This window comes from Homo sapiens, chromosome 19 (genome assembly GCF_000001405.40).
Source record: "Homo sapiens chromosome 19, GRCh38.p14 Primary Assembly".
Classification (NCBI taxonomy): Eukaryota; Metazoa; Chordata; class Mammalia; order Primates; family Hominidae; genus Homo; species Homo sapiens.
Window position 1 is genome coordinate 37,581,720 of NC_000019.10, and position 21,431 is coordinate 37,603,150.

The 21,431-nt window shown below is 40.9% G+C and overlaps 2 protein-coding genes and 1 long non-coding RNA gene across 11 annotated transcripts in view, besides 8 other annotated features; 2 read left to right on the plus strand and 1 right to left on the minus strand.

The window, feature by feature from the left end:
• ZNF571-AS1 (ZNF571 antisense RNA 1) overlaps window positions 1–5,629 on the plus strand; it is a 38,400-nt gene extending 32,771 nt beyond the window's left edge. For 3 of the 4 annotated variants that reach the window (NR_038248.1, NR_038249.1, NR_038250.1), the window contains one exon: window positions 3,620–5,629. This is a non-coding gene — a long non-coding RNA (ZNF571 antisense RNA 1). Of the gene's footprint in view, window positions 1–1,763; window positions 2,116–3,619 lie in introns of all 4 variants that reach the window. The other variant, NR_038247.1, reaches the window with a different exon arrangement.
• Window positions 1–13,073, minus strand: part of ZNF571 (zinc finger protein 571) — a 30,533-nt gene extending 17,460 nt beyond the window's left edge. The window contains exons 1-4 of one of the 4 annotated variants that reach the window (NM_001290314.2): window positions 13,022–13,073; window positions 12,501–12,600; window positions 4,949–5,026; window positions 2,252–2,378 (exon numbers count right to left, since the gene is read on the minus strand). In NM_001290314.2, the coding sequence (NP_001277243.1) occupies window positions 2,252–2,378; window positions 4,949–4,957 (136 nt within the window). In that variant the 5' untranslated portion in view covers window positions 4,958–5,026; window positions 12,501–12,600; window positions 13,022–13,073. Of the gene's footprint in view, window positions 1–2,251; window positions 2,379–4,948; window positions 5,027–12,367 lie in introns of all 4 variants that reach the window. The other 3 variants (XM_017026858.2, NM_016536.5, NM_001321272.2) reach the window with 3 other exon arrangements.
• ZNF540 (zinc finger protein 540) overlaps window positions 1–21,431 on the plus strand; it is a 62,806-nt gene that overhangs the window by 30,346 nt on the left and 11,029 nt on the right. Inside the window, exons 1-4 of one of the 3 annotated variants that reach the window (NM_001172225.3) lie at window positions 13,157–13,376; window positions 16,657–16,737; window positions 17,907–18,033; window positions 19,291–19,386. In NM_001172225.3, the coding sequence (NP_001165696.1) occupies window positions 16,729–16,737; window positions 17,907–18,033; window positions 19,291–19,386 (232 nt within the window). In that variant the 5' untranslated portion in view covers window positions 13,157–13,376; window positions 16,657–16,728. Of the gene's footprint in view, window positions 1–13,156; window positions 13,377–16,656; window positions 16,738–17,906; window positions 18,034–19,290; window positions 19,387–21,431 lie in introns of those variants that run through there. The other 2 variants (NM_152606.5, NM_001172226.3) reach the window with 2 other exon arrangements.
• Window positions 12,034–12,715: an enhancer, noted in NCBI's record as "H3K27ac-H3K4me1 hESC enhancer chr19:38084654-38085335 (GRCh37/hg19 assembly coordinates)". NCBI's record gives its function as "activates a minimal SCP1, AML or CMV promoter by ChIP-STARR-seq in naive H9 embryonic stem cells {active_cell/tissue: H9 hESC(naive)}" and the evidence as "EXISTENCE:reporter gene assay evidence [ECO:0000049][PMID:30033119]".
• Window positions 12,515–12,644: an enhancer, noted in NCBI's record as "active region_14550". NCBI's record gives its function as "activates an Ori minimal core promoter by ATAC-STARR-seq in GM12878 lymphoblastoid cells {active_cell/tissue: GM12878}" and the evidence as "EXISTENCE:reporter gene assay evidence [ECO:0000049][PMID:35858748]".
• Window positions 12,715–12,764: an enhancer, noted in NCBI's record as "active region_14551". NCBI's record gives its function as "activates an Ori minimal core promoter by ATAC-STARR-seq in GM12878 lymphoblastoid cells {active_cell/tissue: GM12878}" and the evidence as "EXISTENCE:reporter gene assay evidence [ECO:0000049][PMID:35858748]".
• Window positions 12,715–13,398: a biological region, named in NCBI's record as "H3K27ac-H3K4me1 hESC enhancer GRCh37_chr19:38085336-38086018".
• Window positions 12,716–13,398: an enhancer, noted in NCBI's record as "H3K27ac-H3K4me1 hESC enhancer chr19:38085336-38086018 (GRCh37/hg19 assembly coordinates)". NCBI's record gives its function as "activates a minimal SCP1, AML or CMV promoter by ChIP-STARR-seq in naive H9 embryonic stem cells {active_cell/tissue: H9 hESC(naive)}" and the evidence as "EXISTENCE:reporter gene assay evidence [ECO:0000049][PMID:30033119]".
• Window positions 12,995–13,194: an enhancer, noted in NCBI's record as "active region_14552". NCBI's record gives its function as "activates an Ori minimal core promoter by ATAC-STARR-seq in GM12878 lymphoblastoid cells {active_cell/tissue: GM12878}" and the evidence as "EXISTENCE:reporter gene assay evidence [ECO:0000049][PMID:35858748]".
• Window positions 13,235–13,354: an enhancer, noted in NCBI's record as "active region_14553". NCBI's record gives its function as "activates an Ori minimal core promoter by ATAC-STARR-seq in GM12878 lymphoblastoid cells {active_cell/tissue: GM12878}" and the evidence as "EXISTENCE:reporter gene assay evidence [ECO:0000049][PMID:35858748]".
• Window positions 13,585–13,634: an enhancer, noted in NCBI's record as "active region_14554". NCBI's record gives its function as "activates an Ori minimal core promoter by ATAC-STARR-seq in GM12878 lymphoblastoid cells {active_cell/tissue: GM12878}" and the evidence as "EXISTENCE:reporter gene assay evidence [ECO:0000049][PMID:35858748]".

Here is a 21,431-nt window from a genome sequence, read left to right on the forward strand (position 1 = left end):
CCCAAAGTACTGGGATTACAGGCTTGAGCCATTGTGCCCAGCCTACCACCATTTTAAAGATTCTCCTGTGAAAAAAAAACAAAAAACAAAAACCTCTCCTGATTCTGTGGTTCACCCTGCAGTGGACAGGAGCTGCAGGGTGAACCAGGAGAATGGCAAAACTTCTCAAGAGGTATGCATGCTTCCTGTCTATACCTTTTGCTTTTCTTTCTCTCCTACCACCATAATTAACATTTTGCCATATTTCCTTCCTAAATTTGTTCCATGGATTTTTATGTAGTTGAAATAATACTGCATATATAAACTCTAATCACACTTCTTTCCCCTAATTATTACAGTGTTCTTAAAACCTTCTAAAATATTGTAAACTCTATTTGTAACTTTGAGGGTTCCTCAAATGGGCCTTCAACAGTGCCTGGTGAGTTAATTCACTGTCCCACTCTAGTTTTTATTGTTGACTTACTTCTTTCTCACTCTCTTTTAAATACTCCACAATGAGGTTTTTGTTCCTCTCATTGCCAAACCCACCTTGTCAGGGTCACCAACACCCTTCATCCTGCCAAATCCAATAGCCAATTTTCAGCGTTCCTCTTACTTGAACTCCTAGCATTATCTCTCTCAGCTAACTGCTTCCTCCTTTTGTCAGTTGGCTTCCAATACACTGCATTCCCTCTTCCTAGGTCACAGGTTACTCAGGTTAGTCCTCAATTTCCTTTGCTAGATTGTTTTCCTGACTGAATGTTGGAACACCCCATGGTTCAGTCCTTGAGCTGTACCTTGCCTTCCGTCTAAACCAATTCGCTCCATAATCTCATTCAGTTCCTCGGTACAGAGAGTAATCCCATATTTATCTCTTCAGTCCTGACTATCCCCTCCACCCACAGGCTTCCAAATGCTTATCTAACTTCACCACACAGATATCTAATGAGCATATCAAATACGTAACTCTTGACTTCCTTCTCCAGCCTTCCAAACCCTGATGCCTCTATTGCCAATCTTCAAAATAACTCCATTATGAAGGTATTAATTCTACCTTCAAAATATAGCCTGTTCTCATCACCTCCACATATTAAACCCAATTCCAAGCCACTGTTATCTCTAGTGTGAACTTCTGAACTAGTCCTCTCATTAGTCTTCCTGCTTTCATTTTTATCCTCACTGTTCACATAGCACTCAGTGACCTCTAAACAAAGATCCTTTACTTGTCTGCAAAAAGTCAGCCAGGGGCTCCCTATCACACTTAGAATAAAATCTCACTGCTTGCAACAACCAACAAGGTCCTACATGATTTGACCTCTGCCTATTTCTCTAACCTCACCTCAAATTTCCACTTTCAGTAGCCACACTGGCCTTCTTGCTGATTCTCAAACAAGTGAAGCTCAGTTTCTCTCAGGATCTTCTCTTCCCTCTGCCTGAACACACCTTTCCCTGATTTACAGCCAACTTTATTCAGGTCTTAATTCAAATGTTACCTCCCCTGAGCTATCATTCCTGGTCCTCCTAACCTATGAACGTAGCAAGCTCTCAGTACGTATGTGCTGGCTAGAGATACTTATCCAAGTTTAACTATAAAAGAGCAACCAGGAAAAACGTAATTCAAAAAATAGATAAAAGCATTGTCCCCAAAAGAGATCAGACCAAAGGTAGCTCCCTTATTAAAACAAAAAGGGAATGTAAAACAGAAGAGTGGCAAATGGGAGTTGGGAGGGAGGTTCCACGGGGAACTCACACACATAACCTTCCTGCTCTCCCTATGTCTCAAGCCTTCTTTCCACAGGCCTTTGAAGAGAGCTTCAGGCACACACCTCAAAGTGCTGCCACCTACGGATCAGCTGTATTATTAGCAATAGCTGACACTGTGACCAGCCTTTATTCACCTGAGCTCTGTCTTTATGTCATGGTTCTCATCAGCATCCAGGGCTCCTTTCCTTGCTCCAGTAAGGAAAGTATATTTGGCTTAGGGACTGCACATACAGCTTAAAAGAAAGGAAATGGTGCATGGTCATGCTAGGGGATTCCCAGATTCAAATCTAGTCCATTGGCATCAAAGAAGGGAGACACTGACAGGAAGTGACAGAGAAAGATGTGACAGTCTAAAGGATAAGAGATAAAAAGGTACACGGTGGAGCTGTCCATTTCTACTTCTACTCAAACGTAAGCCTTTCCTTAGGGAATGGAGATCAGAAATTCACAATGAATGAGGCAGAAATTATGGGGAACAAATTCTGAATATTACGTAGGATGATCTTACCCAATGAGATCAGGTTGCTGTAGTTCTCCAACATCACATCCCTGTACAAGTCCCTCTGAGCAGGGTCCAGGCATTCCCATTCCTCCTGAGAGAAGTCAATGGCCACATCCCTGAAAGTCACCAACAACTGAAACAACAAATCCATTACAGGATGATTCTACAGGAATGATTCTGAAGTGAAATGAGAAGAAAATGGAGGAGGTAATTGAAGGAAGCAAGTAACACAAAACAACAGGAAATTGGTTGCCTAAACAGTAGTATTAACCTGATTCTCTATCATTCCTATTGCCACAGATAAAACTTCCTCTGTACAATAGAACAATTCCATTATCCAGAAAGGTCTGAGAATTTAAAAAGCCAGATGTGTGCAGTTTCTTGATTAAAGAAAATACTGCAAGCGTTTTCTTCACAACAGGTTTTAATTGCACAGCAGATAAGGCTTCCAAATCCTCAATAACTAATATACTCTCAATTAATACAAGTTCTTGCTCTCCCTTCTGCCTTTAAATACTTTTAAAAAGATGAATTTTTTTCCAAACAATGTTTACCAAATCTCTAGGTTAGAAAATAAAATTTGAATATAACCTAAGAATTTTTTGAAGACTCAGATTCATCAAGTTATATTATGTCACAGAACAGAATGGACATATTTCCATTTTACATACAAAATGATCTGCTTATTTGGGAGTATCTGAATTAGACAAATTCTCGGCCGGGCGCGGTGGCTCACGCTTGTAATCCCAGCACTTTGGGAGGCCGAGGCGGGCGGATCACGAGGTCAGGAGATCGAGACCATCCTGGCTAACACGGTGAAACCCCGTCTCTACTAAAAATACAAAAAAAATTAGCCGGGCGTGATGGTGGGCACCTGTAGTCCCAGCTACTCGGGAGGCTGAGGCAGGAGAATGGCGTGAACCCTGGAGGCGGAGCTTGCAGTGAGCCGAGATTGCGCCACTGCACTCCCGCCTGGGCCACAGAGCGAGACTCCGTCTCAAAAAAAAAAAAAAAAAGGAATTAGACAAATTCTCTAATGTCTTTGAGCTCTTAGAATCTATAATTCTTGAGAGTATGCATCTGGCATGTTTTATTTGCTCCTATTTTCCACGTTCCTAGGCTATAGCAAGGTACTGGATGCCAGTCCAGGCACACAGAGACATCACTCTGAACTGGTACATTCCGGGAAATCCCAAGGTGAACTTGACTATGATCATCCTCTCTCATTGGTTCCTGGGCAAGAGGGTTGTAGAAGGCAGAATAAAGGCCCCCCAAACATGTCCACAACCTAATCCCTGAAACAGTAACAGTACTGACTCAATGATAAAGAAAAGCTTGCTTGCTTAAATATAATTACTTTGCTTGACTTTGTAGATTATTCAGTAAGAACAGTCTCAGGAAAACAGGACCTTCAACAGAGATAAGAGAATTAAAATATGCAGACTAACAACTCTGGGAATGGGCTGACCAGCCTGATAAGAATAGGCTGATGGCACCTACAGAAGGCCACAAAACACTGACCAAGAAAGCAATGACCAACAAAGCAATGACCTGAGACTGCACATTTCACAAGAATGTTTTGATCATCATTTTTTCTAATTTCCCTTAAAAACCCCTGATATGGAGACAGAACTCGGCGGTCTTTGAACACTAGTTCACTGCCTCCCCTGGGTTGTTGGATTCCTGAATAGAGCTAACCATCCTTTCACCAATGCTCATCTCTTAAACTTTCAAGTGACAAGTGGTCTGGACCTGAATTTCGTTACAAAACCTATGTATACCTTACCTTACATGGCAAAGGGGACTTTAGAAGTGCAATTAAATTAAGGATCTTGAGAGGGGGTTATCCTGGATTATCTGGTTGGGCCCAATGTATTTGTAAGTGATAGAGGGAGGCAGGTGAGTAAAAAAAGGAAACGTGATGATGAAAGCACAAGTCAAAATGTGATTGCTGGCTTTGAAAATGGATGGAAGCCACACCCCAGGGATCGTGGACAGCCTTTAGAACCAGAAAAGGACAAGGAAACAGATTCTCCAGTCCTCTAGAACCTCCAGAAGGAACATGGCTCTGCTAATACTATGATATTAGCCCTTTCAGACTGATTTCAGACTTCTGACCAGCAGAGGTATAAATCATAATTATATTGATTTAAGCCACTAAATTAGTGGTTATTAGTAACGGCAGCAACAGGAAACTATATCAGCAACAAGACTCCTTCCTTCATAGAACCCAATTCCCAACCAATTTTCAAACTTTCACAGAAAATCTTGCCACACACTGAGACTAGGAACATCCAACAAAAAAATGCTATCACTTTCAAATGGAAAACCCAGGATTGTAGAGAAGATCAAATTTTGTCATGTATCACATTTAAACACTCATCTCTACCTCACCAAACCGTGGTACTAATGTGTACCAATCTTAAAAGGAGGTATTTCTGTTCCCTCAGAGCTCTGGGCAGAAGACTATGCCTGTGGACAATGTAGAATTATCTGCTGAATGAATATCTGAAAACTGTTTGGAGAGGGGAAAAGCATTGAGAAGAATTGGGCTCTTTGCTACTATTACTCGCTAGAATGGGAGACGTTTGGAAGCAGTTCCCTTAAGGAACCAAACAAGGCAGGAAATTCTGGGATAAATCTGGTGTTCACATTACACAACAAAATGATTGTACTTCAAGAAGGAAAGAAACAGCAACTCACGTGGGGCATGGTTTTTTAGAACTGATCAATTTTCTGGGTTCTTCTCCTGGAGGTGTGCAAAGTCCAGAGAAGCCAGTGCTGGACAAGGAAAAGAAGCCACAAGATTAGACTTGGCTCACAGCCCACAAAATAAACTACTTAGAACTACCTTTACTTCTCCTCTTTTGGGAATTTGGAAAAAATCTCAGTTCTTCCACAAACCCAATGGAAGCCAGCTACTGCAGAAGGGGTTCAGGCAGACCTTTCCTTAATGTCCATGTTGAACAGGACCCTAGGTGCTGTTACTTTCCCATGGCATCTCCTCTTCCACAGTAGAACAGAGGCATGCCCAGGGAGCCCCCCACCATCCTCCTGGACCCAAACACTAAGTCAGGTACTTTGCTCCCAATCTTAGGAAGGGGCTTCAGAGACCAAAATGTGGCCTTCTTTCAGACGTCATGAACATCAGCTAGACTCACAGACATTTTGACAGACATATCAGGGTCAACAGATCCAAAACAGTCTCATCCCACTCCCCTGAATCTAGTTCTTTCTTGCCTGTTTACTCTTCCCTATAAAAGAAAATTCCTTTATGCCTGACCTTTGCTATGCTTGCAGATCTTATGGCTGGAGTATTCTCCCAATTACAACACCTCCTCCCTTACTGCAGTGTTCCTGTGAATAAAGTCATTCCTTACCAAAGTCTGGATTTGTTTTTTTATTTCACAGGTTGAATAACTTTTGTAGAATAACAAAACAAACTATTTTAACTGTAACCTAATTCTCCAAGCCATGGCACACACAGAAGCACGGAGGGTCAAACAGGAGCAACATCCACATGACAGCCAATGTGCGCACAGCACGCCCCCTCTTGCAATATGACTTCAAGATTGAGCAAGTTCCCCAACTAGAGCCACCTACTTGCCATAGTTGTGTAGCACTGATCTTTTTTTTTTTTTTGGTAGCATTGATCTTGCATACATGTATAATCCATGAACTTAACATCAATGTTACTTGTGTGATACCAAGAAAACCCAGTAAGAGAGCAGGTAAATAATTTAAGTAAGATTTTGTTGGGTATAGTTGAGCTTTGAAGCACCATAAGCCATTGTACTAAGATTTTGTCCTCCCCGCTAACCAATTTTCACCTCCTTTGAGGCAATATCATCGTCATTAAGAATACATGGGTTGGCTGCACGCAGTGGCTCACGCCTGTAGTCCCAGGGAGGCCGAGGCAGGCAGATCACTTGAGGTCAGGAGTTCAAGACCAGCCTGGCCAACATGGCTACTAAAAAATACAAAAATTAGCCAGGCATGGTGGCACATGCCTGTAGTCCCAGCTACTTGGGAGGCTAAGGCAGAAGAATCACTTGTACGCGGGAGGTGGAGGTTGCAGTGACCCAAGATTGCGCCACTGCACTCCAGCCTGGGTGACAGAGCGAGACTCCATCTCAAAAAAAAAAAAAAAAAAAAAAAAAAAAATCCCATGGGTTAAAATAATATATATAAAATGATATAAAGATGTTAACCTCTGCAAGTTAATAGGATATTTGACATATGATATACAAATTAAATATGACCCCAATAAAAGTACAAGTATGAAAGCAGATACATTCAATTTAAATTCAACAAGCAAGAAAATTAAAAAGCAAGAATTGGAAAAAAATGCCTGATAATAAAGAGAACAGAGATTTCAAAATACCACTCCTATCATTAAAATGTTGGATACTGTAAAAAGGAACAAAATCATATCCTCTGCAGCAACACAGATGTGGCTAGAGGCCATTATCCTAAATGAATTAACACAGAAACAAAACCAAATACCACATGTTGTCCTTTATAACTGGAAGCTAAGCACTGGGTACACCTGAACATAAAGATGAGAACATGGACACTGGCAACTACTAGAGCACGGAGAGAAGGAGGAGGGCAAAGGAGCAAACCTACCTACCTATCAGGTATCCTGCTCACTACCTGGGTGACTGGATCATACCCCAAACCTCGGCATCACACAATATGCCATATAACAAACCTGAACATGTACCCCCTGAATCTAAAATAAAAGTTGAAATTTTATTTTTAAAAAGTTGGATACTGCATATGAATAGAAAGAAAAGATTAATGTAACTGAATAGAATCTCTGATCTCTGGGGAAAGGTGGATTATTCAGTAAATGTTATTGGAGAAAGGTAAAATTGGAACCCCATTTTATAACACATACCCAAATTAACTCCAAATATATAAGATATCTAAATATTAAAAAATGAAATTGGCAGGGAGTGGTGGCTCATGCCTGTAATCCCAGCACTTTGGGAGGCTGAGGCAGGTGGATCACCTGAGGTCAGCAGTTCACCGTCAGCCTGGCCAATGTGGTAAAACCCCATCTCTACTAAAAATACAAAAATTAGCTGGGTGTGGTGGCGGGTGCTTGTGATCCCAGCTACTTGGGAGGCTAAGGCAGGAGAATCGTTTGAACCCAGTAGGCGGAGGTTGCAGTGAGCCGAGATCATGCCACTGCACTTCAGCCTGGGCGACAAGAGCCAAACTCCGTCTCAAAAAAAAAAAAAAAAAAAAATCACAAAAATGCTAGAAGGAAAAACAGACTGTTCCTTCTTAACTTCAGAGGGGAAAATTCTGTATCTCACAATCATATGAATAAATGTTCCTACATTTAAAAATTGCCTAAAAGAATACACAGACAAATGACAAAATGGGAGAAAATATGCGCAACTTAAATAAAAAACAGAGTCCTAAAATCCAAAGAGCTGTATTTTAAAAATCGAGGGAAAACAAGAGAAAGACAAAAAAATCATTATTTTAAATGGACAACAGACAATTCATAAAAAAAAAGTCAACGGTCATTCAACATGTAAAATGCTCATCATTTAAATAAAGAGAAATTCAAATTGAAACGAAATTGAGAAGACTTCTGAATCCAATATCATTAAGATCCTACTGGACTAAGTTCCTTGAAGATACACCTATCAGATCTGGACATAATACAAAAAGCAACTAACTGAAGGTGCTGGCCAATGAACTGAAGCAGTATTCCTACAAAAAAATGCAAAAATTAGCCAGGCGTGGTGGCGGGCATCTGTAATCCCAGCTACTTGGGAGGCTGAGGCAAAGAATTGCTTGAACCCGGGAGTTGGAGGTTACAGTGAGCCAAGATCGCGCCACTGCACTCCAGCCTGGGCAACAGAGCAAGACTCCATCTCAAAAAAAAAAAAAAAAAAAAAAAGCACACTTGAATTGAATCATGAGGAAACATCAAACACATACAAACTGAGGAACAATCTACAAAATAACAGGCCTGTAGTTTTCAAAAAAGTCAGGATCACAAAGGATCAAAGAAAAGTCCAGGAATTGTTTTCCATTAAAAGAGACTAAAGAGATGATTTAATTAAATTAAATGTTTGATCCTAGATATGATTTTGGATTGGACGCCAGATAAGGGGCAAAAAAAGGCTATAAGGAGCTGGGCATGCGGTGGCTCATGCCTGTAATCCCAGCACTTCAGGAGGCCAAGGCGGGTGGATCACGAGGTCAGGAGATCAAGACCATCCTGGCTAACACAGTGAAACCCTGTCTCTAGTAAAAAAAAATAAAAATAAAAAAAAATTAGCTGGGCGTGGTGGTGGGCACCTGTAGTCCCAGCTACTTGGGAGGCTGAGGCAGGAGAACGGCGTGAACCCAGGAGGCGGAGCTTGCAGTGAGCCAAGATCTCGCCACCGCACTCCAGCCTGGGGGACAGAGTGAGGCTCCGTTTCAAAAAAAAGAAGAAGAAAAAAAAAGCTATAAGGACAAAATTGTAACAATTGGTGAAATTTTTCTATGAACTCTGGATTAGACAATTATTACATCTCTGCTACATTTCATTTTAATAAATGAACTATAGTTATAGTCCCCTGTGCTCAGAAAATACACTAATATAATTATAGATAAAGGAAAATGATGTCTGAAAATTACTATCAGGTAGTTCAGAAGTATATATGTAGAGAGAATTAGCAAACAAAAAAGCAAAATGTTAAAAACTGGTAAATATGTAAGGACATAGGACAGTTTTTTCTATTATTTTTGCAACTTCTCTGTAAGTGTAATATTATATCAAAATAAAAATTTTAAAAAACCAATGCTATGTGAGTACTGATTTTTAATTAAGAGACTAAAGAGGCATAACCAAATGTAATCCATGAACCTTAAATATAGCAAAACATAAAAACCAAAAGAAATCTAAAATGCATTCTCTATCTTAACAGTAGTGACAGTTACTGTTGTTTTCAAACAATTATATTTTAGAATAAAGAACGTAAATTATATTAATGTTTTAGCAACCAAGATTGTTAGCATAAAACAGAGATACAAGTATAAAATCAAACAAGAAAATACTCTGTAATTTGTCTGAACTATTATTATAAATTCATGATTCATGATTTATACTTTAAAAACAAGTTATTAGCTTTGTTCCCTGAAATGGCCTAGAATAAACGACAGCCTTATGGCAATGAGAAACTCTAATGCCCAGACAGTGGTCACTGTACACTGTATACCACAAGAGGAATCAGAACTCCTTAGAGAAATGGCTCATTTCAGGGCTGGCACAGGAAATGTAGAAGTTGATCTTGGGATCATTTGTTCTGCCAGAAAGCAAATAAGCTATCAACTCTACTAGAATCATGACAGAAAGACACAGAACTGCCTGGAAAGGACTACCACTGGCTTAAAAAAGAGCAGTTTGATATAAAAAAGAATAATGATCACAATAGTTCGAAACATATGGTATTCAAAACAGACACTCCCTTTTGGGACTCCTTAGAAGGTTGTAGGGCACCAACTCATTTCTCTGAAAATATATAAAGGGAAAGAATCAAATCAATTACTCTGCCTTTCCATATGAACTGTATTTATTTATCTTGAGATGGAGTTTCACTCTTGTTGCCCAGGCTGTAGTGCAATGGCGCAATCTCGGCTCACCACAACCTCGGCCTCCCGGGTTCAAATGATTCTCCTGCCTCAGCCTCCCGAGTAGCTGGGATTACAGGAATGTGCCACCATGCCCAGCTAATTTTGTATTTTTAGTAGAGACGGGGTTTCTCCATGTTGGTCAGGCTGGCCTCAAACTCCCGACCTCAGGTGATTCGCCTGCCTCGGCCTCCCAAAGTGTTGGGATTACAGGCGTGAGCCACCACACATGGCCATGAACCGTATTTTAAGATAACCAAATACTTGATGAAAAAAAGTTCTTATATATAGAAGAACTGTAACTAATGAATACAGGAGGAATTGAGAGAATTTTTTTTTAATCACCATATATAACTGTTAATGAATGGGCCAGGCGCGGTGCCTCACACTTGTAATCCCAGCACTTTGGGAAGCTGAGGTGGGTGGATTACTCGAGGTCAGGAGTTGCAGACCAGCCTGGGCAACATGGTGAAACCCCGTCTCTACTAAAAATACAAAAATTAGCCAGGTGTGGTGGCACATGCCTGTAATCCCAGCTACTCGGGAGGTTGAGGCAGAAGAACCTTTTGAACCTGGGAGGTGGATGCTGCAGTGAGCTGAGATCACACCACTACACTCCAGCCTGGGCGACAGAGTGAGGAAAAAAAAATAAAGAATGGATCTTGGTATCAATCATAAGTGGACGTTATAACCTTTAGGTCAGTGCTTCTCAATCCTTCTAAAATTTTTCACGGTCATATCCCTAGGAACCTTTTTAGATACTTTTCTCTAATAGCCACCACTCTCATGAAATTTTATTACCATAGATATACTGTATATATGTTTATGTACTGTGGCCCTTTGGAGGACCACAGATCATTGTAATACCTATGAGTTTTTGTCCTCTTCCTTCTCAAAAACCAAGTTTCACCCACTTGGAAGGTGATATCCTCCACCCTCATTGAGAATGCATGCTTTAGGTGAAAAAAAGGAAAGGATTAAATGGACAGCATTTAAACACATCAATATGACATCACTGAAAGTGGGACATCAGACTGTAAGGGCCTCATGATGTGATGTAATAGGAAGTACACAGCACCAACTATGAATTAAAGGTGATTTAGGGAAAATCTGATCCAAATTCCATCAAACCTCTAGATCTAACTGCCTGTTTACAGAAATATGAAGGAACGGAAAACAAATTATAAGACAGTACAAAGAAGCAATTAGCTAAAAGCAGTATACAGAATATTCTACGGGACAGATGATCTAGTTTTTCTACAAATCAACAGCACCAATTAAACCAAAACAAAACACAGGAGGGAAACTATCATGCATTAAGTAAGTTTAACAGGTTTGGCCACCAAATGCAATGTGTGGACTCTATCTGGATCCAGATTTGAACACACCTATTGTAAAAATATGTCTTTGAAATAATTGGGAAAATCTGAATATGGGGGTATACAAGATTATGAAATAACCACCACGCTGTTACACCAACATAAGAAACAAATTTATTGTTTTAAACTTATTGTTAGTTTTTTTTTTTATGTTGGTATAACAGCATCATGGTTATTTTAAAATATAATGTCCTTTTTGGTAATATATGCTTATAAGAGGATAAAATACAATTTTGAAATACTATAGGAAAAAACGGGGAAGGATTGATACAAAGGTATTTACAAATGTTTTTAATTACAGCTAGGTGTTGAACATGTTGGGGTTCGTATTATTCTTTAGCCTGCTTGAAAACATCCACAATAAAGTTAAAATTTTAAAACTCTTCAAATTTCCCCCAGAAAGTACAGTTATTTTTCATCAAAACCTTAGACCAGGCCAGGCGCGGTGGCTCACGCCTGTAATCCCAGCACTCTGGGAGGCCCAGGCGGGTGGATCACGAGGTCAGGAGATCGAGACCATCCTGGCTAACACGGTGAAACCTCGTCTCTACTAAAAACACAAAAAATTAGCCGGGCATGGTGGCGGGCGCCTGTAGTCCCAGCTACTCGGGAGGCTTAGGCAGGAGAATGGCGTGAACCCGGAAGGCGGAGCTTGCAGTGAGCCGAGACCGCACCACCGCACTCCAGCCAGGGCGACACAGCGAGAATCCGTCTCAAAAAGCAAACAAACAAACAAAAAAATCTTAGACCAGAAAGGACTGCTGTATCATTGGGTGGAAAGGAGAGGTGTAGTGTGGCTGGGGAGTAGAGCTAAACTGATGATCCCATCCCCGCAGCATCATTTATGGGGTGCCTAAGGACCAGTCACTAGCATGGCTGGTTCTTCCTTAGGAAGATGTTGCTGGAGGTAGAAAACGTTTCGGAAAGGAAGAAATTTGAGGTTAGAAAGAAAACAGGAACTTCACACAAGACTTTCAGAAGTGCGATATTCTTTTCCTCTGGGTGCCTCTCTTGGAAAACGCAGAACCGAGAAAAGAAATAAGCATCATAGAACATCAGAGCTCTCGGAGCAGACGAAACAATTTAGGATAACACCAACCTCTAGAAAGGGATTAGTCTTCCCCACAGGGCTGTCAAGCTAGAATAGGACATCTTTAACAGTGGTCTTCTTCCTAAGACACTTCCAGGGGTAAAGCCTCACCATCAGGGAAACTTCAAAAAGAGCCTCTTACTCTGCAAAGAAACTGCAGCAGCTGTAACCGCACGATTCTCAGCTGGCTTAATGATGTCCGTGTCACACGAGGAGTACTGCGGCCCGGGAGGGGCCAAGCGCTAGGAGCATTAACAGGCGGCAGGTGAGCCCACCCCGCGGCCGCACAAGCGCACACGCACACGTCCAGGGCGGAGGAACACTACTAGTAACACCCGCCTCCTTCTAGCCTCCCTATCCCAAAGTTATGGTGCCGATTTTGTCCGCGGCAGGGGCTCCAGGGGCACACTCATAAATTCGGTGCGGAGGAACACAACTAGCAGCACCACACCCCCGCCACTGCCAGAACCAAAGTGACGGTGCCGACACCCCTCCGCAAGCGCAAGGCCGACTTCCATAAGTAATTAGCCAGAGCACCGTCCCGTTCCTGTCAGCACCGAGCCCCAGCCAGGACACCGGTATTCCCAGCACCATACAAGAACTACTTTTTCGATGAAGCAACCCAAAAGCTGCGAGCGGTTCCCGGTGAGGCCGCCCACTCACCTGGCCGGCGCAGACAAGCTCCGTGCGTCAAGACATAACAGCGTAAGTGTACGACGTTGCGCAGCGACGCGGGGGCCTTCGGGAAATGTAGTCTACAACTGGAAACCGGCCGGATCGTGTCTGCGCAGGCCCAGCAGCTAAGATCGGGTCCGGCGCTCCAGAACAGAACGATCCCTGAGGCTCCCTTGCTCGAACTGTGGGACTTACCCTACTATGGTCCGAGCCTACCCTATTTCATTATACTCAAGTAACGCCCCAGAAATTCCAGAGAATCTCACACAAAGAGGTTGAGTCTTGCCGTGGTGCCTTCAGGGGAATGTCATCCCGGGCTAGAAGAGCTGCAAAAGGCTGTCAGGTAAGGTCTGGATTTCTCTCTGACAGCTCTGGCCGTGACGCAGTGGCCACGATACCGGGTTGCTGCTCAACGGGGTTCGGAAGTGTGACGCATTCTTTGCGGCCATGTGTGTGTGTGTGCGTGTGTGTGTGGGTCTGTGCGCGCGCGTGTCCGAGTGTCCTCTGTGGGTGCAGAGTGGGTAGTGGCCATGCCTGTGTGATGTGCGTCAGATTATGCTTGAGGCTATTAGTGGCGCATTTAGTATTGTGTGCGGAAGGGTCTTGGGAATGGTTTGATTATAGCTTTGAGGGTGACTGATGTCTGTTTAATCAGATTCAGCCTGCGACTGAGTATCTTATAACCTGTAAGAAATTGATTTTTCTTTGCATGGTCATGAATTTAAAATAGATTCCCATGAAATTATATAAATGTAGTGAATGATTCATTGAGAGTTCGCCTGTGGCAGTGAATGTGGGGAAAGAAGTGTGTGAGCATAATATGGTGAGAATGAGCACGATTGTGTGCAGCGCTGTATTATAGTGATATCTCCTGGCTTCAGTTTTCTCACCTGTAAAGTGAGGGTGTCAGTCGTGTAACGCTTTGGAACAATGCTTTTTAATAGGAATTTCTGCAAAACTGAGTTCCATTTTTTATATCTGTGCTCTCCAATATAGTAGCCACTAGCTACATATGGCTATTGAGAAATTGAAATGTGGCTGGTTTGACTGAGGAACGAATTTTTTAAATTGTGTTCAATTTTAATAAATCTAAATGTAAACAGCTATATATGGCTAATAGTCTTCCTATTGAACAGTACAACCTGGAGCATTAATTTGCCTTCAAGATTTGAAGGGGGTAAAAACTTAATTCATCTAGCAAATATTTGAAAATGAAATTCTTAAAACTTCCTTAAATTTTTTTTTAAATTTGAGATGATTGTAGATTCATATGAGGTTGTAAGAAATAATAGAGACATTGTGTGTTATCTTCAACTTAGTCTTCTCCAATGACAACATCTTGCAGGACTGTAGTATAATATGACAACCAGGATGTTGACATTGATAGTCAAGATAGATCATTTCCATCACCTCGAGGATCTGTTGTGTTGCCCTTTTATAGACAAATGCACTTTCTTCCCTCTTGTTTGAAGATATTCGCGTCAACATTAATGATAATGTAGGCATACCTCATTTTATTGTGCATCATTTTATTGCACTTTGCAGATACTGTATTTGTTTGTTTTAAAGAGACAGGCTCTCACTGTCTCACCCAGGCTGGAGTGCAGTGGTGCAGTTATAGCTCACTGCAGTCTCGAACTCCTGGGTTCAAGGGATCCTCCAGCTGGCCCACAAAGCCTGAAATATTTATTATGTGGTTCTTTGCAGGAAAAGTTTGCAGACTCCCAATCTATATTATTTCTGATGGCTACTTTATTTTCTATTATATGGATACACTAGAATTTATTTAACCTGTTCTTTATTGAAGTCTAATTTATGTTTGTATCTAGCTTTTTCCATTTTAAAATTAGTCTATCTGCACCTGTCTGCATATATCCTAGTGAACATATATAATTATTTTCCTTAGACAGGGTCATAGGAGTGGGATTACTGAAACATCTGGCTCATATTATTAAATTCTGCTAATATAAATTTCTAATTTACCCTCTTTAAGGTGGCACCAGTGTATAACATGGCGTGAGGGCATCTATTTTACTCCAGTTTAACATGTTATTATCAGTCTATTCAATGTTCCCGTGTTGTAAATATAAAATGCTATTTGCCACTTTAACGTATATTATCTTAATAAGTAGCAACATTTAATAGCTTTTAGTCATTAAACCCAAGTCATTATTCACGCTTGGGTTTTATTAGGCGTAATAAGAAATTCTGGGTATCAGTGACAAGAGCACAGTTGAAAAAGAACTGGCTTTGTAGTTGGAGAATTGTGGATTCAGAACTCAGATGTCTTGTTTATTAACAGTGGATTTAGGTTTCTGTTTTTCTGATGTTGAAGTGGAGATAATAATGACATTGTAGAACTGTTCTAAGGATTAAATAGCTATATATAAGGTATGCATCACATAAAAGTTGATTTTTTTTTTATTGCTTCCAGGGCCATAAATTTACTTCTCCCTCTAGTTTGGGTACTGAGGGAGAAGGGAGGGTGAATGATGTCCTGCAGGGACCCTGGGGACTCTTCTGATTGAGGGAAATGGGGAGTGGTGAGCCCTGAGGATTGTGGGAGTTCCAGTTCAGGCTAGGAAAAGGGATCCCAGTGTGCAAGTATAATTTTGCAATGATAAAGGCCATCATGGATTGTCTATGCCAGGGATCAGCAACTGTTTCTTTGGTTTTTTGTTTGTTTGTTTTTGAGACGGAGTTTCAATCTTGTTACGCAGGCTGGAGTGCAATGGGGCGATCTCAGCTCACCGCAGCCTCCCCCTCCCAGATTCAAGCGATTTTCCTGCCTCAGTCTCCTGAGTAGCTGGGATTATAGGCACGCGCCACCACATCCAGCTAATTTTGTATTTTTAGTAGAGACGGGGTTTCTCCATGTTGGTCAGGCTGGTCTTGAACTCCCGACCTCAGGTGATCTGCCCGCCTTGACCTCCCAAAGTGCTGGGATTATAGGCGTGAGCCACTGCGCCCAGCCAGCAAATGTTTTTTATAGAGGACCAAATAGGAAGTATTTTAGGCTGTGTGGCCCATACAATCTCCATTGCAACTACTCAACTTGGCTATGGTAGCTTTCTGAAAGTAGCCATAGTCAGAAGTAAACACATGAGCATAGCTGTGTTCCATTCCAGCTTTATTTACAAAAACATATGGGCGGGCCAGATTTGGCCCATGGGCCATAGGTTGCAAACTCCTAGTCTGTTCTATCTTTCGTTTTTAAGTCTGGGGAGGCCAGGAAGCTCCTAAGGCCATGAAGGCAGTCTGCTTTGGATAATGTGGTCTGTCCCCTTTGGATGGTGAGAATTGAGGGAAGAGAATCTACTCTGGGCAATTCTGAACATCCCAGCCTTGGGCCTAGATCAGTATCCTCATAGTGGGGATTGGCCCAGAACTCTCCTGCTGAAATATTGGTCATGTGTTCTAATGCAGGATAACCTCTGCACTGTGTCCATCCTCGTACAGCCAGGTTCCCTTGCTGTGGTGAGTGTGTCGGAGGGAGGTGAGGGAAGTGTAGGGGAGGTATTTGCAAGCAACAGTGGAAAATAAAAGATTATTAATTTATATCATATTGTTACCTCTGAGGCAGACCTAGTCTCACTGTCTCATTTTTTTCTCCTCTAACTCAGGCTTCTCAGAACTTTGCTTCTCCAGCAGAATAATCCTGCGGAAGACTGAGCAGTTCTTGTGAGTGTAAAACCATGGCCCATGTAAGTCACAGTTTCTCTTTCCTTTTTAGATTATTTTGTTTTTAAAGATCATGTGAACATTTTCACTCTTTATGCTGACACTTCCTAAGAATTTTTTCTTCATCCCCACATTTCCAAGCTCCTCCCATGGGCCCCCTCTCTTTTCTAACCAGTATCCACATGCACATTGACCAACTCATTCAGGGTACTCAGTCTCTGTCTAGGGCAGAGATGGAACAGACATGAAGTTCCTAGAGGGGGAGGTACTTTACCATCCTTTGTCAGATCTGAGGTGTAATGAAACCAAGAATGGAATCATTTGACTACACGTAGGAAAGCACTGCAGTTTTCCACAGATCCTGTGTCTGTAGATAAATGCAGTTTAATATTGATTGGCCTCAGTTTCAGTATGTGGTTGGGGCCTGCTTATAGAGAGGCCAGGGGATCTTTCCTGAGAATCTCTGAGGTGAAAACCCATAGTAAGACGCATTTTGTGGTTAAACGGAATGTGCTAGTCTTGACATCAGTATGATTCTGGTTCATTACATCAATATTCTTAATCTCAAGAAAAAAGAAGGTGTGTAGTACTTATAAGAAAATCATCCAGATACATAAATATTAGTTAATTGTATTCTCCCAGATTTGCAGTGAGGTACTATGGCCTCGAACTTCTGAGTTCACCACTGTACTCCAGCGTGGGCAACAGAGTGAGATCTCCGTCTCGATTGATCAATCGATTGATCGATAGATAGATAGATAGATAGATAAACTTAAAGGAAAAAGAGGATATAGGATTCTTTTTTATGTATTAAGTGGTTTTTCTTAAAGTATTTATTATTAAGTAATAATTTATTGAGAATTTTTGAGGTAGAAATATAGTTTATTTGCTTGTATCCACTGTTTAATTGAATTGGGAAACATTTATTTGTTCCCAGAAATGTTTTGAGTAGTTAAAGAACCCCATAATATACAGGAAATTTTGCATATAGTGGCTGGATTCTTCAAGAAAATGAGGTGACTCTGCTTTAGAACACCTGGTTCCTTTCTTCTATCTTTATCATAAGCTTTCAGCCCCAGCCTAGAGTTTAGTATAGTACCCCTTGCTGCAATGAAACCTTTTATCTCCTTTTCTTCTTTTTAAAATACTTGTTCTGTAATTTCACCAGTAATATGTTGGTTTATGGTTTCAGGCATTGGTGACGTTCAGGGATGTGGCTATAGACTTCTCTCAGAAGGAATGGGAGTGCCTGGACACTACCCAGAGGAAATTGTACAGAGATGTGATGTTGGAGAATTATAATAACTTGGTCTCACTGGGTAAGGTCACCTATGTCAAATAATGTAGACTCTGTTATCTGAAATAGTAGCTTTCTCTTCCACAAATTTAGGACTAATTATTAAGAAACTAGCTGAATTTCTTCTCTCTTCCTCAAGGAATGGACTGAACTTTGATGGTTTGTGAATGGCACTTCCACTAAATGCTTTCATTTTCACCATACCTCACTGAGCCTCATGAAATGTTCCTTAATCCATTACTGTAGTTACTTCTTCCTTAATAGTTAAGAGACTGGATTTGAATTTTGGGGCATTTACTCCAAAGCCAATGTCAATGAAATCAGGTTTCACATTGCATTTGAGCTCAGAATTGCTATGGATGCTCTGTTATTTGGTAACATGCCTATAAGGATAACAGCCCTACCCAGGGTCTACAATTTACATGTCATGGTTCAGACCAATAACATTGATTTAAAATTAAAGTGAATGCATTCTACTTCCTAAAACAAATATTTTCTCTTACTGATTTGTGATTGAAAATTTTACCTATTGGACATTATGCTCAGTACCTGGGTGGTGGGATCAAATGTACCTCAAACCTCAGCATCACACAATATCCCCAGGTAACAAACCTGCACGTATGGCCCTGTATCTAAAATAAAAGTTGAAATTAGTTAAAGTAAAATAAAATTTATTAACTTAGCATCTAACTTTAAATGAATATCTTAGCAAGAACCTAGAAATATTTTAGGAAGCTTCTTGTTTTGCTCTAAGTAAATTAACAACAACAAAAATAATAATAGCTAATAGAGTGCTTACTATATACCAGGCATCATTCTAAGTACTAGCTACAAGATACAAAAGAAAAAAAGAAAATAAAAGGTACTACTTTTATTTTCATTTTACAGATGAAAAAACTGAGGCCCAAATAATTTAACCAGTTTGTTTACAATCATTAGTCAATAGGTAGTAGAGTAGAATTTGGACCCACATAGTCTGGCTTCAGAGGCTATGCCCTCAATAACTACTGCCTCTCAATAGAGCCAGTCTGTATGAGTTTTAATTCCAAAATGAATTAAAATTCTCCTAGATGAATTTTAATTCCCCTGCCCATCAAGTTTCTTTATTCTCTGGGATCCTGAGGTTACACTAAGTTGAATATTCTTTAATCCTGTCAGTTTTTTCCGAAGTCTTCATCGAAATCATGTTGATCCATATAAATTTAACCAAGTCTCAAAATGTTTCTGAATGTGCAATGTTTTATTTCTATATATTCTTTTATTTCTTTCTTGTAAGCAGGATATTCTGGCTCAAAGCCAGATGTGATTACCTTACTGGAGCAAGGGAAAGAGCCCTGCGTGGTGGCGAGGGATGTGACAGGAAGACAGTGCCCCGGTGAGTTGAGAGTTCATCAGGCAGATGGAAGCCCTCATTGCCAGTCACGGCCAGCTGGTGAGGGAGCATATACAGGCTTTGCATGCTGTTTAGGGAGTTACTCTCAGAGGCCTCAGGCCTTTGGAGTAAAGGTTAAGACAGGGAAGAAAACAGATCATCTGAGCATGAACTATCAAAAGAACCTCATCTTGGCTCCTACTTACCACCTGTCTTTGTTTTTGTTTCCCCTCGTATTACTCTCCATTTCAGTAAAGGGAATGCTCTTTCCTAGTGCAATCAATTGCTTCCTATCTTTTCTCCATTGACATGTGTGCTTGTTTCTAATGCCTAAAAGTTCAGTCTTTCACATATTCAGCATATATTTACCGAGTGCTCACTCTGTGCCAAGTGTTATCAGTGCCTTGGTGAATAAGGCCAAAACCTCCCTACACTAATGGAATTAACATTGTAGTAGCAGAGATACATAGTAAACTGTAAACAAATGAATATATAATATTAAATAATGATGCATGCTATGAAAGAAACCTATGAAGGGTAAAGAGATAGAGTTTGGGCAGGTTTAATTGAGGTGGGCTGCCCAGGGAAGGCTCTTCGAAGAGAGAATATATGTGCAGAGATGTGCAGTATAGGCTTAGGCCATGTGAATATCTGGAAGAAAATAATTCCAAGCACAGCAGAGAAGTGAGCTTTGTGTGTTTGAAGAACTGGAAAAGCTCAGAGCAGATTCAGAGTGGGGAAGAGTAACTAAATATGAATTTAGAGCTGAGCAGGGGCCAGGTCTTATATGGTTCTGTTTATCATAGTAAGAAATTTGGATTTTTCTTTTCCAAGAGTGATTGAAAGCCATAATCAAAAATATGTTTTTAAATGATCACTGTAGATGCTCTGTGAAGAATATACTAAACAGGGGCAAGATTGGAAGTAGGAAGATCAGTTATCAGGCTATTTCAGAAGTCTAGATTAGCAGTGAAGGTAGCTTGGATTGGGATGGTAGTGGTGAGGGGTGGTAAGAAGATGCTGTATTCATCTTATGATTTGAAAGTAGAGCTAACAGACATGCCATGGGGTATGAGTGAACAAGAAATCATAGGTGAACAAGCAGCTAAGTGTATATAATTTGCTGAGATGGACATATGGGAAAGATAGCTTGGAAGATGGAAATAGAGTCCTGATTTAGGTATATATATTTAAAATGCCTACTTGTCATCAAGATCGAGATGTTGAACAGAGATGGTAGGATGAGTTATATTAACTTGGGTGTCCAGCCAATCAACTGACTGGATGAGATCACTTAGGGCTGATCTGACCTACTACCTGTTTTTGTAAATAAAGTTTTATTGAAACGTAGCCATACTTAATTATTTATGTGTTGTCTATGGCAGAGTTGAGTAGTTGAGACAGAAGTCATATGGCTCGCAGTGCATAAGATATCGACTGTCTGGTCCTTTACAGAAAGTTTGCTGATTCCCTCCCTTTAGCGAATGAGTTTCATAGAATGAAGGGAGCCAGAGGAGAAAGAGACTGAGGCCCAGGGCACTCTATTCAGAGAAGGAAGAGGAGGCAGCAAGTAGATTGAGAACAAGTAGCCTGGAGAGTGGTACCAAAAAAGTCAAATGAAGAAAATGTTTCAAGTGGAAGGGAGTAGTCATCTGTGAGGTCAACTGAACTGTAAACTGCCTATAGGATATGGCAGGAAAGAAGCTGGTGGTGACCTTGTGTTAAGAGGACAAGGTTTCAGTGGAGTCAGAGGTGAAAAAAGCCTGCTAGATGTGGCTGAAATAAAATGGGAGGTGAGGCAGTGATGACAGTGAGATAGAAAACTTTTCTAATGGGAAATCTGTTAGGAGGGAACTAGATAAGAGGTTAGTAGCTAGAAGAGGATATGGGATGTAAGGAGTCTTTTTTTTTTTTTTTTTTTTGAGACAGAGTTTTGCTCTTGTTGCCTAGGCTGCAGTGCAATGGCATGATCTCGGCTCACTGCAACCTCCACCTCCCGGGTTCAAGCAATTCCCCTGCCTCAGCCTCCTGAGTAGCTGGTATTACAG